The following is a 17,528-nucleotide window of genomic DNA, read 5'->3' as shown; positions in this document are numbered from 1 at the left end:
TCCTTCCTTTTCATTCCAATTCCCCTTTTGTAGAAGCCACCGTACACATTAACATGATACACTAGGAATTGCAAAATAATAGCACTCTTTGCCCCCTGCCAACATAGATTCTGCACTATTTCTAAACATTGACATTTTTTCTTTCTTTCTCTTTCTTCCCCATTTACCCCAAATCAATTTTAAGATATGAACAAATCTTCCCGTATCTCCTGGGGTAGATGATCTCTTTACTCAACTCCAAGTGGCTCTTACCCTTCCTTCTCTCTCTGTGTGTGTCCCACCGGTCCTCTCCCCTTTTATATTCATACTCTACCTATTTCTCCCTAAACCTATTCCTCCTCAGGCCAGACAACCTGTTCAAATGCAACCACTCCAGATGTAATACACCACATTTAAAGGTCAGAAATTGTTATCATTAAAGTACGGGGCTTGCGGGTTGCTTTGCTCTGCTTTGTGTCTGGGGTTGGGAAAGAAAAGGATGAAATCAAGTTTCAATTCATGTCAATTTAAATTAATGTTTAAAAGTGTATTGTGGGCCAGGCGTGGTGGCTCATGCCTGTAATCCCAGCACTTTGGGAGGCTGAGGCAGGCAGATTACATGAGGTTAGGAGTTCGAGACCAGCCTGGCCAACATGGCGAAACCCCCTCTCTCCTAAAAATACAAAGATTAGCTGGGTGTGGTGGTGCGTACCTGTAATCCCAGCTACTCAGGAGGCTGAGGTAGGAGAATCGCTTGAACCCGGGAGGCGGAGGTTGCAGTGAGCCAAGATCACAGCACTGCACTCCAGCCTGGGCCACAGAGTGAGACTCCATCTCAAAAAAAAAAAAAAAAAAAAGTGTATTGTGCTTTTTATTCAAACCCTATGCTTCCATTTATCTGGCCACTAAAGGGCTATCTCTAAGGGCCTAAAGAGGCGGTTTCCAGCCCACAAAGCTATTTTGTTTGGTTTACAGGAAGTTCTAAAATGTTGAATTAGCCAACCTTTAAAATCAGATTTTACACAATAATCCAGATTTCTGGCTTACAGTGAAAAATCAGAAGACCTGGCAACACCGGCCCACATTCCCACGCGGCAACAATGCACTGCTCAACAGGCCCACTTCTGATGGGCCTCCCACTCCTGATGACCCCACCCTGAGGGCGAGTGCCTGCTGCCACAAATCATCTCTGAGGCACACTATTTGCTCAAGACCCCCAGGCTACTGCTAGTATCCAACTCTGATTAGCACAGAAATTACAGATCTAATTTCTGCTTGGTACAGAACTTAGCAGGTATAAATAAGTTATAAGGAAAAGAATTTAGAACAGGTGAAAGAGAAACTATTTTGGAATTGAAAAATATCTTAAGAGAGCTAAGTTAAAGAACAAGTGCATCTCTCTCTGTCTCTGAGTGTGTGTGTTTGTAGGAAGGGTGTGTTTTGTGCAAGATGTATAAAACTGCAGCCCAGTTCCCAATTTGTACTTTATTACTGGCTAAATGTTAAGATAAATAATTCAATAGTTAAAGTAAAACTTGAACAGAATAAATTCACTCCAGCAAAGAGATTATACTTGAGTATAATGAAGTATAATTTTCTTGTATTTAAAAAATAAAGGCACGAATGAAACAGCCTATGAATATGATGTAGATACATGGATATTTATTTATTCATTCATTTACTTTGAAGATATAGTTTTTTTATATTGAATATATTTATGGCATTTATTCAGCAAACATTTGTTACAGCAGTTTTTTCAGCTAAGACATAACACCTTAGCAAATATTAGGTATATCTTTACATGATTTGTTTATGTACAGTAGTTATTCTGGCTGAGATCTAACTAGGAGGAGGGTGCTTAAGATGTACTTTACAAGTGGCATTCTATCATCAATATGGGTGACAAAAGAGAACAGGGCTAGAGAAAACACCAGAATAATTAAGTGATTTAAAGTTACCCTCTCAATTCCAGGATAAATTTTCATTCAAGTAGTTTTACCAACAGGCTCATACTTCTAAGACCAACTTGGGGTGACAAGAGCATTGGCCTGGAAGCCTAAATGCCGGGATGCCGCTATGGCTCTACTCTTCAAACACGCAGCACGAACCAGAGGAGTTATCAGGTACCTTTACACCTCAAAACCTGATTCTCTTTTTCATGTAACAGAAATACTACTAGGTATTATAAAATAAATACAAAGAAATGTGCAGAAATGAGAAAGGGTACAGTAGATAAGAGAATAGGTATATATTATAAAATATTAAAAAGTCTGGTTTAAAATAAAAAAGTCTGGTATAAAATGAGTCTGGTTTCAAATTCCACCTCCGCCACTTCTATGTGACGTTGTTGCAAATGACATAACCTTTCCAGCCTTATGACCTCATCCGTAGAGTGGGAATAAGTCTATCTTTCACTCAGAATTGTTTTGAGGATTATATGAGAATGCATGTAAATTCCAGGGCATAGGTTTGGACAATCATTAAGTGCCTAATAGCTGTTATTATTAATAACTTTAGGTGTTCCATACATTGTCCAAGTACTTCTTAACCAGCTAAGTTAAATACGAAAACAAAAAAGCAGCCATATCTGAGAATACTCTGATTTTAAAAGCCTACTCAGTAGAGTGCCATTGCAAGCACCATGGGGACCATTTTTCCAAGCATTTTAATTTTCTAGTATTTCTTAAAATTGGGTTGTAAGCAATCAGTGAAGAGAATTTTGACTGACGGCATCTAATACCCAATCTGAAGAGTTCTGTCCTATCTCTATAGCATGAGAGATTTTGAGACACAGCTTTCTGGCGGCCAATGACCATCAGAGAAAAAGGTGTCTTCTTGTACATCCTTTCTTCTCCTTGTTCTGCAGAACTCGTTGCAGTGCTGGCTATCTGTCGATGCTAAGATGTAGCAATGGGATTTATGCATTGTTGGGGAAGTGAAGCTTTCTCTGGCAATGTTCCTAACTATTACCAGCAAGCATAAGAGGAAAGAAAAAAATGTTTTAAGAAAAAAAAAATGCTTGTAATGGAACCTAACACCATATTTATGAGCGTTCCCCAAAAGGAGGTGTCAAGGGGTAGACACAGACATCTTGAAAACCTCAGAGGAGTGGTAGTTCCCAGACTTTTGATTTCACAGGCCAGTAAAATGTCAAAAGAAAGACTATCACAAAATTGCCAGCTTAAAACTGGACCTAGAAATGACACCAAAAAACCATCATCATCCTTTCATAAAATGAAAAAACAAGCCAACCTTCCAGTAGGAAGGACAACCCAAGATTAAACAAAACAAAAACAAAACAAAAAACCAGACTCTTATAATTGAATAAACTTAGCACTAAAGTTGAAACAGAAAAGCTTGTTGCATTGTCTTCACTCTTCTCATTTTTTCATGGGCTGGTGAAACTGTCATCAGGGACCCACTCTGGAAATGACTGCTCAAGGATGGACTGGGAGTTGGTCCCATCATCCATCCAGCCCAGGATGCACTATCTCATGGAGGCACCAAGGGCCATGGTGGACCATGTGCTGTTTGGGTCACTATACCTTCCAAGAAGACTGACATATCCTTAAAGCTTCTCTTTTGTCTTAATAACCAATGATGGGCTTGCTGGCCACAAATGTTTCAAACCCATTTGAAGGTGTCTTCAGTCAGTACCCAGCCTTCGTGCACAACTACTAAGATGGTGGTTCTGAGCTGAGCTGCACATTAGAATTACCTGGAGGCAGGGAGGGCTGTTTTCAAAACTAAACTCCATATCCAGAGATTCTGATTCAATAGGCATGGGGAAGGGTCTGAATATATGTATTTAAAAAATATTCCCCAGACTGATTCTGATGCCAGCCAGGGTTGAGAAAAACCATATTTCTTGGCATTCATCCTGAATTTATATCTTGTAAAGTTTTAAGGTATACCTCTTCTTTCATTCCTCTGGGTGACAAATACTAATAGAGGGCCTGCCACGTGCAAGGCACTAGAAAATCAGTAGAGAACAAGAGAGATAAATCCCTATCCTAACCACACTGACAGAGTACCGGAGCAGGAAGACAAGGAGGCAATTAAAATAGCACGCTTGGGCTTATTAGAATAAAGTGAACTATCAAGGCTGCCTATGGCCCTATCCTTGTGGTTTCATAGGCCTCCATGCCATCTCCTCTCAGATGACTCTTTCCAGGTGCTAGAAATCTTAATATTTTTATCAAAGAAACAGATGAGCAAGGACCCTGTCCTCATGAAGCTTACATTCTAGCAGCAATGTCCAAACATTCTAGGTAGGTATCATTACAATGGTCATTCCAGCTCTAGTGTCTTTCTGAAGGTTAGGTGCCCACGAATTTGGGGGAAAAAACACAGTGAAAACTCAATTAAGACTATATTTTGTATTTTTTTCCCCAAAATCTTTTTTTTTTTTTTTTTTGAGACAGTCTCTGTTGCCCAGGCTGGAGTGCAATGGCGCGATCTCAGCTCACTGCAAACTCCGCCTCTTGAGTTCAAGTGATTCTCCTGCCTCAACTTCCCGAGTAGCTGGGATTACAGGCACCACCACCACATCTGGCTAATTTTTTTATTTTTAGTAGAGACGGGGTTTCACCAGGTTGGCCAGGCTGGTCTCGAATTCCTGACCTTAGGTGATCTGCCCACCTCAGCCTCCCAAACTGCTGGGATTACAGGCCTGAGCCACCATGCCCAGCCCCAAAATCTTTTTGATGAAGCCTAGCATTTCATGGTTTTTGTTTTTCTGCAACAGCAAGTCAGGACAACAACATGAAGGTATTTTCAGAGCCCTTCCCTGAGTTTATCCAACAAAACACCATCCTATGAAAATTCTGTAATTTCCCCTTAATACCCAACCACCTATTTGCCCACAAGAAACTCACCTGCAAATCGTCTGATGACTAATACATCCTAGTGTGGTTTCCCTGGAGCAAATACCCAGTGGTTAGACATTTCATAATCCAGAAAAGCTGTCATCTGCAAACCTAGAAATTCCACTGTGTGTTCCTTCTTTTAGATCAATTATGTAAATAAGACCCGAGGGACCCCACTGTTTACACACCTCTAAGCAGAGAAGAAATCCTGATCCTTAGCCTTTATTGTGGTCTTTAAGGCAGATAGATTCTAATGCCTACTCTGTCACTACATGTGTAAACTTACGCTAAGCACATCACCTCCCTGTGCCTGGATACGCTCAACTATAAAATTTAAGGGTAGCCAGGCGCGGTGGCTCATGCCTGTAATCCCAGCACTTTGGGAGGCCGAGGCGGGCGGATCATGAGGTCAGGAGATCGAGACCATGGTGAAACCCCATCTCTACTAAAAATACAAAAAATTAGCTGTGTGCAGTGGCGGGTGCCTGTAGTCCCAGCTACTCGGGAGGCTGAGGCAGGAGAATGGCGTGAACCCGGGAGGCGGAGCTTGCAGTGAGCTGAGATCGCGCCACTGCACTCCAGCCTGGGCGACAGAGCGAGACTCCGTCTAAAAAAATAAAATAAAATAAAATAAAATAAAATAAAATTTAAGGGTTGATCCCTTCCAGCTATAATATTCTTTCTATTCAAAGTGACACAACTGCATCCTTAATTCTAAGACTCCAACTTCGACACAGCCTTTGACAATATAAAAGGACAGCAACACTTTTCCCCTCAAGAAATTTCAAATATTCAAAAGGCATCCCTTCTTTTCATTGGAATATCCTTCATCTCCAGAGGATATAAAGAGGTTGCCCACGTGGACTGGTAAAGAAGGGAAACCAAGTAGACTGCACCATCTGGACAGCCAACACACTAACAAAGGATTGGGGCACAATGGACACTCATCACAAAGAGGTGACACACATTTGGCCATGAGATTTGAAATTTTCCTCTAGCTCTCCTTCAACACTGTGAGACAGCTACCACCCAAATCAAGTAATTTATTAAATCTAGTTCACTGGATAGATCTAGAGTATTTGGAGAACTTGGCACTAAGGTACCTGGGATTTCTTACCTGCCAGCTTCAGAAGACATCTGGGAATGGTAATTTCCTAATGTCTTTGTAGTGAAGACTGTAAAATTCAAGTTAAGTATGAACTTACATCAACGGCAAGTTAAAGCCAAGCTCTGAGAAAAAGGTTTGCTTCTAAACCTCAATCCTCTCTCCTTCTCTAAATATAAGGCTGTCACTAAATATTTGAGGCATATTAGCAAAAAAGAAAACAAAGCTTAGCCTGAGTGGGAAACAAGTCCATAGTTGATTTTTGCCAGTTATCCTATCTTCTCACAAATTTCAAAAGCAACTCTAACCCTGCAAGCTTCAGATTTGCACAAAACATTAGAAACTCTCTTCCAGATACATAAACAGAACTACAAAGACCCAGAGGAAGGAATTCAGATTTCAGAAGCTTGCAACAGACTTGAACAATTTCAAAATGGTACCCCAGGTGCAAACATTTCAAGAGCTAAATGCCATGTGGCCTGGCATTTAAATTTCTCAGAAGCCCCCAAAATAAGGGCTAATTAGCCCTAGAACTCACCTCCATCACTCAGTGATCTCAGCTCTCATATAGGACCAATAGAGCCCCCAAACTACTGAGTTTTACATAGTACTGACTACAGTTTTCAACAAAGTCATCCTCCATTCCTCTCTGATATAATTAGAAGACATAAATTCAAAAATGTCAAAGGCTAGAAGACTGGATCAAAATAAATAGGATAACATTGAGAAGGAACAACAACAACAAAAAAAACTTCTCCAAAAAAATCTGCCCAAGAAATACAGGATGCAGCAGCTCACAGAGCAAATATCTGGGGGTTTTGACTATCCAAAACATGATTATCTAATAAAGAAGTTTGTGCTCGGCACTGCCTAAGAAAATCATAGGCAGTTGTAAGCTTAAGGTGCAGTAAGTAGACATTTATGCTTAGGTCTCAGCAAACAGCTGTCTTACTGTACTCTCTGTTGGCCAGATCACATCTCAATTACATATTCAATTCCAGATTCTCCATGTGAGATGCCGATAAACTGAGAAGACATCGAGAAACCACATCCCAATAAAAGACTGTGAAAAGAATTGGGACTAGTTTGCATTAGCAAAGTCAACTGGGGGTAAGGGGACATCATATTGTCTTGGTGCATTCAAAGAGAGTAGGCAGCTCCAAAAGAAGAAAATCATTGGAAAAAAAAATTCAAGGAGACAGTCTTCAGCTCAAGTAAAAATACAACAAACAGTCCAAAGGTGTAATAACCTGTCTTCAGGAGAAGTTCACGGTTCCTGGGGTTAAACAAAAGTTACCTAGAAAGGGTAAGAATTTACTAAAATAAATAAATTGGATAGGGCCCCTCTAAAATGCCAATTCTGATTTCAATGATTCCCAACTTACTCCACTATCATACTGTGCTCATCTGCTATGATCTCCCTCCAAACTGCCCCTTTCTTTCAATAAGGATTTGCCCAGACCCTAATCACATCAGACCTGAGCACAAGTCTCCTACATCAGCTTCCTAAGCTCAATGTTATTACTCCTCCCATGTCAAGAACCACCTCCCTTCAAGACCTATTCTGAGATCTAAGGGCAGGCACTATCGCCATTTTGGACAGGATCATTCTTTGTTTAGGAGGAAGGGGGTTGATGTCCTGTGCACAGTAGGATGCTTATGTATCATCCCTGTCCTCTAGCCACTAGATGACAGCAGCACCTGCCACCTCGCTATGATAACCATAAATGTCTCCGACATTCCTCAATGTCTGCTGAGAAGCAAAATTGCCTACTTCTGAGAGCCACTGGTCTTGAGGCAAATGATTAACACCACTGACTTGTGGTTAAGTTTTTCACGAACTAGGTTCCCTCTACCCTCCTTTATTAGTCGTATATTCTGTTCCACATCCCTGACCACTGTCAAAAGTCAATTCAGATTTCCACTCCTCCCTCAGCATACTTCATAAACTTTTATCTGGTTCCACACACCCTGGATTCTTAGACAACTGTAACTGTCTGCTTCTGCTGGCATCCTCATGTGTGCCTGTCTTATCTGCTCTCTGTGATTACTACGAGAATCCTCTCCTGCCTTGTTAAGATCCCACAGCACCCACTCCAGTTCTCTGCTTCCTGCTGGCACTCAACAAATATTAACTGGTGTTTCTTAGAATGTCAAACACCAGCTCCAATTAAAAATAACTGAAATCTCTTACAAGCTACCACTTCAACAACATAATAATCATGATTACAAAGTTTTGACAAACTTTTGACTTTAATAGCTATTTTGTCTACAGTACTGAGAACAGAATCGAGTCTAATTTCCAAACTATAGCTACCAAAACAATTTAACTATTTGGACATGACAAACACATCAGAATTTTCTAAAATTAATTTTTAAAAATGCTGCATAATATAAAAATTAAGGGAAAAGGGGCCTAGTTTTTTTCTTTTTTCTTTCCATTAAACTTTAGCGATTTTGAGAAAAAAAGGGCCAAGTTTTGACCATGTTTTTTAAATGCTGGAAAACACAGCAGGGAGAAAATGATATGAATATGGCTCAATACTTTAAGTGTTGCATCATATGCTACTCCACATGGTAATGGAAGGCTGGGTCATCTAAGGACAGTTTCCTCTCCAACCTTCTAATCTGTTAGGTTTTAATCAACACGCACACATACACTCTCAATAAAAACGAGACAAATCTAACATAGTGTTCAAATATATAAATAAACTGTGCCAATTCAAGATTTTGGAATTTTTCCCTGGCTCCATAGATTACCTAATCATTTTATGGGGGGCTCCATAAGTAACCTACAGAGACCAAACACCCCAAATCAACTTTTCGTGACCCCTGTTTTAACCACCTAATTTTCATCTCAGATTCCTCCCCATCTTGCACTTGGATTTTAACAGGGATTTAGTTAGTTGGTGTCAAGACAGATGAAGCAAGAACCCCAACTCTCGCCTAGCTGACAGTAGGTGTTTGGTCACTATTTTTGGACTGCAAAAATAAATGCTGCCTGAGGACCCCATTTACAGGATATGGTGCAGGGTTCTTCCCACAGGTCTGTAAGAAGCAGAGGTCCCAGATGCTATGGCGAGGAAGGTCTGATCACTCTCATTCTTGGCACTGGGAGGGGCCCCTTATTTGTTTATAAGGTAGACAGCCCTCATCATTACTGCAAACGGGGATTCCCTGCCTGTCCAGACTCTTCCAAAGTCCGGTACAAACCACGTAATAGGTGCTCAATAAACGCTGCCTGTACGGAATTTTACTATCAAAGCTGCCAAGGAAAGTTTCCAGAAATCAGCTCTTCCAAAATATGTCCTCAGAGTTTTCTTTGTCCAACAAAAAAATATTTTTGAAGATCCAAGAGCAGGAAATCTGCGAGGCAACGAGGAGCCAAATATAAGCCAAGCGGCTCCAGCTGGGCCCCACATTCCGCTAGGACTCCCCAGTACCTATTCCCCATCTCTCCGCCTACATCCTGAGTGCGCCCTCCCTCTCATCTCGGCTGTTTCCTTCCCACAACCCTACCTCCATACTTTCGGCCACACACACCCCAAGTGCGTGCTCCTGGAACCTCACAGCCCACCTCTCCCTCTCCAGCAAGGACCTACCTCTCTTCCCCTCGACCTGCAGCAGTTCTTCTTCACTGCAGCTGGCTTTTTAAGAAATCAAAAAATCTCATTTATCTGCAAGGGATACCCCCTAGTAAAGGGTGACGGAAAGGAGAAGGCCCCTATCAACCCTCCAGTAACTGGAGGTGCTGGTCCTCCCGGCAACCACCCCCAATTCTCCTCCTTTTCAAGCCCCTGGACAGGATTTGAGCAGAAGTCCCGCTCCCAAGAGCCCACGCCTCCAAACAAGCTAGAAGCGGATTATACCGGTACCCAACCCGGAGACGGCCCGCGGACGGCTGGGTGCACCTGCGGGCCCCCAGCTCCCTCCCACAGGCGCGGGGGGCGGGGCGCGGGCCTTCACCTCCCCGCCCCCGCCCGCCGGGCTCCCAGCGCAGCCCACCCTGCACAGGAAGGAAGCGGAGGGGAGGCGATTCTGGAGAAGTTAAAGGGCTCACCTTTGGACGCCGGGCCAGCAAGGCCAGACACCAAACACCCACCTCCGGGAGGAACCAGCAGAGCCGAAACCGGCTCTCCCCGCCTTTCCGATAGGGCGGAGGGAGGTGAGAGAAGGGAGCGCGCGCGAGGGGTTCAGGAGCCAGGAAGCCGCACTCCCCTCCCGCAGGGCCGGCCGCCCGGGGCCGAAGCGGCCGACGCTCAGACTGCAGAAAGCGGAACAATCTCCCAGGCCCTGGCGGCAGCAAACGGGAGCCCACTCCGCTCGCCGCCACCTCCTCCCGACCCCCGGACGTCCCCGAATGAGTTCCCGGCCGCAACCGCAGCTCGGGCCGCGGCGCCTGCGCCAGGGTTGCGCGCTCCGGCTCGGCGCGGCTCCACCTGCGCGTCGCCTTCCCTCGCAGCCCCCGGCCCCTGCCGGGAGAGGTGCGCACCAACCTTGGGGTGCAGCTCGGCCGCCAAGCCACGGCTTATGCTGAGGCCGGAGGTGGCGGCATCACCCGCGGCGGGCGGCGGCTGCACCGGGACGCGCCGGGGCGGCGAAGGCGCGCTGCACCCTGGACCCTGCTCCCGCGGCCCCGCCCGCGGCTGCCACCTCGAAGCGCGGCGGAGGAGCCGGGGCACCACGGGCGGCGGCAGCGGCAGCGGCAGCAGCGGCGACGGGAGCAGCAGCACATGACTCTGTAACGAGGGGAATTAGACAAAGCGTAACATGGACTCCGGGCCCGTGCAGGCGCTGCAGCTCTGGGACCAACCGCAGCCGGCGAGTGCCGCGACTGGCCCGGCCGCAGCCAATGGGGCGGGCCCGGGCCTCCATGTGATTGCGAGCGCTTTCTCCGGTGGCCCTGCAGCGCCTGACCGGACGGGGTCTGTGTGGCGAGGGAGGGGACCCGGGGTTGGAGACTGGCGGCGAGCGACTGCTAGATGCGGAGCAGGTGCTTGGGAGGGGAAGAACGGCAGCCTACATAACCATCGCCGTAATGCTCTCGCAAGCGTCCACCTGGGCAGGGCTCGGTGCCGGGCAGGCGCAGCTGCCAGTTAGCTGCGAGGCATGGTCAGGAGCCTTCACCCGTCCTGGGCGAAGGAGGCTGTCCCGTCGACTAAAACTCTGATATTAAGACTTGGCGCTGGGGGTGGGGAGTTGAATTACGTTAAAAAGTCACTTAAGTGCCTTCCAACTCTAAGGAGAAGTACTTATCTGAGCTTTGGGGCACACACAACTACTACTTGGCATGGAGAGTTTCTCAGCTTCATGTGTTCCGTCTGTTATTGAAGCTGTATTGGAAAGTCGGTTCTTGTTTTTATCTGAGCCCGCCGTTTTCATCCCATTCTTTTCGTCAAAAATATGTTACATCTGAAAGAGGCAGATGAAAAGATTATTCTATGCTAAGAGGGTTTTGCAGCCCGATAATGTCACCGTTTTTTGTTGTTGTTGTTGTAGGATCGGGGTTCATTTGCAGTCTTTTTTGTGGGTGAGCAGAGGCAGGGGCCAATAAATAAATTAAGGCGGGATATTTGGAGTTATTTGGTTGTAATAAAATATGTGGTTCAACCCAGTGCTTTCATATCTTCTTTTATCTGAATCCATGTGTTTCTGTAAACCATCGGAAGTCTAATCTGTCTTCTACCAATATCTCTCCATGTCAGCAAATGTTCAATCAACGTTTACCCAGCATCTAAATATTCTTAATAAGCATGCTGCACAAATGTTACAGGTACTCAGGAAGGTGTCGGTTCAGAGACAGTGAGACATTAAAGAGAATGATTGTCCAGGGTTTCAGAAAAGGATTCAGAGAGGAGCTGATAGAATTGACCCTTGGATGGTGAGCACTTGGCCCTCAGGCATTGGACGTGAAGAAGAGCAGCCCAAACAGGAACATGAACAGAGAGGTCCAGAATACACTCAAGGGACTGCCCGAGACCCGTTACAAGATGCCACCAGATTCTGAGCCCTCGGCCCTTTTGCTCTCACTTTCCTTCCCCGACCCTCCTTGCCAGCAGCCACTCCTGTTCCACACACTGCCAAGAAGGAGGTGTATGGGCAGGGAGTGTGTGTAAGTGATCTAATCAGTGTCAGATTTGCTGATCTAAGAGATGAGAGGTCTTTTAAAACTTAACAACTAGTGGTGTGATATTTTTATTGAAAACAGCCCACTATTATAATGAATATGGAATGTTTTGCTGTTTGTAAAAAAAAAAAAAAATTATAGGCCGGGTGCAGTGGCTCACGCCTGTAGTCCCGGTACCTTGGGAGGCCGAGGCAAGAGGATCACGAGGTCAGGAGTTAGAGACCAGCCTGACCAACATGGTGAAAACCCGTCTCTACTAAAGACACAAAAATTATCTGGGCATGTTGGCACGCACCTGTAATCCAAGCTACTCAGGAGCCTGAGGCAGGAGAATCGCTTGAACCTGGGAGGCGGAGGTTGCAGTGAGCTGAGATGGTGCCACCACACTCCAGCCTGGGCGACAGAGTGAGACTCCATCTCAAAACCAAAAAACCAAAAAAACCAATCTTCTGTACTTTGTTCTTTTGATCTTCCCTGGGTTTTAAATTGTGATTCTAGACTTGAAAAACATGATTTTAAGATTGGTATAAATCGAGAAAAGAAAAAAGTGATATTCAGAAAACAGTCAAATGTGGAGAAATAGACACTCACACACTGTAAAAGTAAGAGGAAATTGGACAAACCCCTTTGGAGGACAATTTGGAAATTTTTGATAAATAGGTGTGTTCCCTTTGAATAGGTAAGTCCATGTCTAAGAGTTTGTGCTTTAAGCATATTTGTGCAAAAATTATGTCAGAAATATTTACACATGTACAAAAATATATATATACGTGTCTTATTGCAACATTGTTTGTAATAGTGGGAACATGTAATGGTGTAAAAATCAAATAATAAAGTCCCAGTAGGAAACTGTTTAAGCAAATTTTGCTAGATCTGTAGAAGGAAACCATAAGCAGCCATTAACAAAAATAAGCTAGATCTATTTGTACCTACATGGAAGGATGTCCAAAATCTATAAGTGAAAAAAAAGGAGGCTGCAGAACAATATGAATAGTATGATTCCATTTTTTTGTACTTTTTTGCATTAAGATATACATGTTATTAAATGTATGCTTCAGAAGAAGTCTGGAAGCATATATAACAAGCTGTTAATGGTGATTATCTCTGGGTGTGGGATTACTAGGGCCTTTCATCAAGTTCTGTATGTTTGAATTGTTTTTATATTGAGCACATATTACTCTGATAATCAGAATAATAATTTTAAAAATTTAAAGGATTGTTTTAGAGTATATTCAGGCTATTATAACAAAATACCATAAGCTGGGTGGCTTATAAGCAACAGAAATTGGCTGGGCATGGTGGCTTATGCCTGTAATCCCAGCACTTTGGGAGACCTAGGCTGGAGGATCACCTGAGGTCAGGAGTTCGAGACCAGCCTGGCCAACATGGTGGAACCCTGTCTCTACTAAAAATAAAAAAATTAGCTATGAGTGGTGGCAGGCACCTGTAATCCCAGCTACTCGGGAGGCTGAGGCAGGAGAATCACTTGAACCCAGGAGGTGGAGGTTGCAATCAGCCAAGATCATGCCAGTGCACTCCAGCCTGGGTGACAGAGTGAGGCTCTGTCTCAAAAAAAAAAAAAAAAAAATTTTTATTTCCTATAGTCTGGGGGCTAGGAAGTTCAAGGCAACAGCAGATTCCACGTCTGTGTGTGTGTGTGTCTTCTTTCTAGTTCAGAGAGGGTGACTTCTTGCTGTGTCTTCATATAGTGGAAGGAGTGAGGGTCTCTCTCAGGCCTCCTTTTTAAGGCCACTAATCCCATTCATGAAGGCTCTGCCATCATGACCTAATCGCCTCCCAAAGGAATGACCTCCTAATACCATCAGTTTAGGGGTTAGGATTTCAACATATAAAATGGAGGGGCGGGGGACGCAATATTCAGACTATAGCATGGATCAAACTAGTAAGAAGTCTACCAATGATAAGTAATGAAAAATAACTCTGATTATCTATGATGTAAAAACAGAAACAAAAAAATCAGCCCATCAGTTTCCCCTTTTCCACAAAAAAACAGAACGGAGGCAGCAAAGGACAATAACTGATTTGATGTTGGGTTCAGAATTAAGAAATATGATGGAAAAGGAATCTGAGGCTACTCTAGACATATCTACAGAGAAACACATGGCTTCTAGGAAGTTCTATTCAACAAAAAATAGAGCACTTACTATCCTTTGCTACTTGTTATGAGAATTGGCAACTGTTTCAGCACATGGTAAATCTGTATCAACAATAACAACTAATACTTACGTAGGTCCTCTTCCAAATACTTTACACATACCTTAAGTCTTCACAGCAGCCCTATGAGATACTATCCTCATCTAATAGATGGGAAACAGAAGGCTTTAAAGAGGCTCTGTGACTAGCTCAATACCACATAGCCTTTAACTGACAGAGCTACCTTTTTAGGTCAGGTGGCCTGGCTCTAGAGGTCCAAGCACTTAATCACAGTACTGCCTAAAAGGACCATGTAAGATAAAGGGCATTATTTGTGCATCTCCTCTTACCAAGTATGATGATTCTAACTTGATTTGTTCTTACCTAAACTATAGCATGCTCCAAGACACTCAATAATACTTTTGAATGAGGGAATGAATAATTGACTTTCCTACAAAAGAAGAATCTGAGCTCCTTGGAGGAGTGATTTTGCATTCTTCCATTTTATCACCTAGCAGAGTGCCTAACATATGGTAGGCAATATGGGTTTCAATAATCTGTAAACATGTTTTTGAAAAATTTTGCAGCAATCAAACTTTATAAATTGATCTCAAATGCACTGAGGTGGCTTATGAGTAATGTCATGATGAATTCGTTGGAAAATGAAAAATAGCCCTGGTGGGCTAAATATGGATATACCTGCATAGTCATACACAAATAAATGTACAGTATATTTGCTTGAAAGTGGTAGTAATGCTGAAGAGTTTCAAATTATTTGAGCCTCTCTCTCACCTCTCTCAGTTTCCTCATCTCTGAAATGGGAATACTAATACATACCTCAGTTGATTATGAGGGAAAGAGTTAAATGACATAATATGTGGAAAGGGCTTAGCCAACTGCTTAATAGGCATCGCTCAGTAAATGTTACCTAAGTACAACCACATATTATAAGTGTGATCAAATTTCTCAATCTAGTGTGTCTCTTAATAACATAACTAACATAATATGCAATATCTAGAGCACTTTATTTTTAAAAGACAGGAACTCAATACATATGATGCTTTAAAATTACATGGTAGGAGTTCAGCCTAAGTAAATGGTAAAACAAATGTTTTCTCATTTTCTTTCCTCCCCTGCGCTACCTACTACTTTAATGTTCTTTCTATTCTTTATATGGGTTAGACCCATTTCAAACTTTCTTTATATGGGTTAAACCCATTTCACTTCTCAGACTTATTTAAACTCTTGCGGGTTGTTTTTTGTTTGTTTGTTTGTTGTTTGTTTGTTTTCCGAGACAGGTTCTTGCCCTGTCACCCAGCCTGGAGTGCAGTGGCGCCATCACCACTCTCTGTAGCCCAAACCTCTTGGCTCAAGCAATCCTCCCACCTCAGCCTCCCAAGAGCTAGGACCACAGCATGCACCATCATGCCCAGCTATTTTAAAACAAAAAATTTTGTAGAGACAGGACCTCACTATGTTGCCCAGGCTTAAACTCTTAGCCTTATAGGTAGCTAAAGAGGCAAACTGTCTCCATTCCTCACAGCTAAGGAAATTGAAATGACTAGACTAGCAATGAGCAGGTTGAAAGGGGAGAAGCACTGTGGAGGAAATGGAGCTGGACGGGATGTGGGGGATAACCCTCCGCGAGTATGACACAACATCAAGTCCAAAGAGGAAGGGAAATTGCCAGACTGCTATAGTTAGAAATAATATGGCGAAATTGAAACTAGAAAAACTAAGGGTACATGTCTTAACCACAAAAAGAAGAAAGAAGTGGATCTACGCCTTCTAAAATGGATTCATAGGGCTGGGTGTGGTGGCTCACTCCTGTAATCCCAGCACTTTGAGAGGCTGAGATGGGAGGATTGCTTGAGGCTAGGAGTTTGAGATCAGACTGGTCAACATAGCAAGACCCCCTTCCCTATTTAAATAAAAATAAAAAATGTATTCGGAGAGAGTGGTAAAATTAGGGTTATCTATCTAAGTGAGTGGGTGCATCTTAATAGGTAACCATGAAATAAGTGTTCCCTTCAATAAACTGTAAAAAAAGAAAATATACCAAATTCAACTGCCTATGAATTCGTACCCATATACTCCACCTTCCTGCCTGCTTCTACTATGAATGGATCTCAAAATAATTGTCTCTACTCATTGTCTCCAATTCATCCCCCACCCCCATCTTAAACTTAATTGAATCAGGGTTTTACTCCCAAAGCATCAGTAAAACTGATCTTGCCAAGGAAAACAATGACTTCCACACTGCTAAATACAGTCAACAATTCTTGGTCCTTACTTGACCTCTCAGCAGTACTGGACACCATTGAATACTACTGCCTCTTCAAGTGGACTTCTCTTGCCTTTCAGGACACCAAACTCACTCCCTTCAATCAGTTCATCCAGTTATATAGCTTTGAATTCCCCTTCTATGCCAACAACTTTGCATTTATGTCTCTTACTCAGTCCTCTTTCCTGAGCTCCAGCTTGTGTTTCTGACTGCCTAGTTGGGTTTCCTACTTTCACGTCTAATAGACACCTCAAACTCCACATGTTCAAAACTGAACTCCTGATTTCTCCCCAAAACTTGTGCATCCCACACAGCTTTACCCCCTTACTAAATGGCAATTCCATTCTTCCAGTTGCCTGGACTAAAAGCCCCAAGTTATCCTTGACTCTTTATCTCATGCAACTCACATTGAAATAGGAAATTCTGTTGGCTCTACTTTGTAACTATGCACTTCCACGGCTACCACCTTGGTCCCATCCACCATCGTCTCTCTCCTTGATTAACTCGTTAGTCATCTAATTAGTCTATGTAGTTCTGCTTCTATCCTGTTCCTCCCCACAGTCTATTCTCAGCAGCAGCCAGAGTGATCATTTTAACATATGTTTGATTGTCTCACTCCTTTGCCCAAACCCTGTGATCACTCCCCATTTTACTCAGAGTAAAGCCAAAGTCCTTACGGTGACTTGTGAGGTTCTTACATGATCTATGTACCACATACCCAAACGTCACTCAGAGAAGCATACCCAGACAACCATATCTAAAATTGGAATCCACTCCCTGCCTGCTTCCGTTCCCATCACCCTGCTTCATTACTTTCCCTTGGGCACTTATCACTGGCTTATTATATTTTTTGTTTATTATCTATCTCTTCCTGCTAGAATATAAGCTTTTTGCGGATAGGAAATTTTATCTATTTTGCCCACATGTATTTAGAATAGTGTCTGGCACATAGTACACACTGAATAATTATTTTATAATGAATTAATGAATTTATTTCAGATTTCTAATCAA

At 43.2% G+C, this 17,528-nt stretch overlaps 1 protein-coding gene and 1 long non-coding RNA gene across 13 annotated transcripts in view, besides 7 other annotated features; one reads left to right on the top strand and one right to left on the bottom strand.

Moving 5' to 3' along the window:
- Positions 1–10,708, bottom strand: part of LRRC8D (leucine rich repeat containing 8 VRAC subunit D) — a 115,580-nt gene extending 104,872 nt beyond the window's left edge. For 4 of the 12 annotated variants that reach the window (XM_047423953.1, XM_047423956.1, XM_047423947.1 and 1 more), the window contains exon 1: positions 10,013–10,708. The gene's annotated coding sequence lies outside the window, so the exon portion shown is untranslated. Of the gene's footprint in view, positions 1–9,554; positions 9,802–10,012 lie in introns of those variants that run through there. The other 8 variants (XM_047423944.1, XM_047423943.1, XM_011541689.2 and 5 more) reach the window with 2 other exon arrangements.
- Positions 4,797–5,296: an enhancer, noted in NCBI's record as "H3K4me1 hESC enhancer chr1:90292003-90292502 (GRCh37/hg19 assembly coordinates)". NCBI's record gives its function as "activates a minimal SCP1, AML or CMV promoter by ChIP-STARR-seq in naive H9 embryonic stem cells {active_cell/tissue: H9 hESC(naive)}" and the evidence as "EXISTENCE:reporter gene assay evidence [ECO:0000049][PMID:30033119]".
- Positions 9,739–9,958: a silencer, noted in NCBI's record as "fragment chr1:90287341-90287560 (GRCh37/hg19 assembly coordinates)". NCBI's record gives its function as "represses an EF-1alpha promoter that drives an FKBP-Casp9 reporter gene in an ReSE screen in K562 erythroleukemia cells {active_cell/tissue: K562}" and the evidence as "EXISTENCE:reporter gene assay evidence [ECO:0000049][PMID:32094911]".
- Positions 9,739–10,039: a biological region, named in NCBI's record as "ReSE screen-validated silencer GRCh37_chr1:90287341-90287560".
- Positions 9,830–10,039: a silencer, noted in NCBI's record as "silent region_1059". NCBI's record gives its function as "represses an Ori minimal core promoter by ATAC-STARR-seq in GM12878 lymphoblastoid cells {active_cell/tissue: GM12878}" and the evidence as "EXISTENCE:reporter gene assay evidence [ECO:0000049][PMID:35858748]".
- Positions 9,946–11,566, top strand: LRRC8D-DT (LRRC8D divergent transcript). The gene has a single exon (NR_185885.1). It is a non-coding gene; the product is annotated as an LRRC8D divergent transcript (long non-coding RNA).
- Positions 10,130–10,229: a silencer, noted in NCBI's record as "silent region_1058". NCBI's record gives its function as "represses an Ori minimal core promoter by ATAC-STARR-seq in GM12878 lymphoblastoid cells {active_cell/tissue: GM12878}" and the evidence as "EXISTENCE:reporter gene assay evidence [ECO:0000049][PMID:35858748]".
- Positions 10,330–10,679: a silencer, noted in NCBI's record as "silent region_1057". NCBI's record gives its function as "represses an Ori minimal core promoter by ATAC-STARR-seq in GM12878 lymphoblastoid cells {active_cell/tissue: GM12878}" and the evidence as "EXISTENCE:reporter gene assay evidence [ECO:0000049][PMID:35858748]".
- Positions 11,120–11,179: a silencer, noted in NCBI's record as "silent region_1056". NCBI's record gives its function as "represses an Ori minimal core promoter by ATAC-STARR-seq in GM12878 lymphoblastoid cells {active_cell/tissue: GM12878}" and the evidence as "EXISTENCE:reporter gene assay evidence [ECO:0000049][PMID:35858748]".
- Positions 11,567–17,528: the final 5,962 nt, after the last annotated feature.

The sequence above is a fragment of the Homo sapiens genome, chromosome 1 (assembly GCF_000001405.40).
Source record: "Homo sapiens chromosome 1, GRCh38.p14 Primary Assembly".
In the NCBI taxonomy this organism is placed as follows: Eukaryota; Metazoa; Chordata; class Mammalia; order Primates; family Hominidae; genus Homo; species Homo sapiens.
This window is presented reverse-complemented; position numbering and strand designations above follow the sequence as displayed.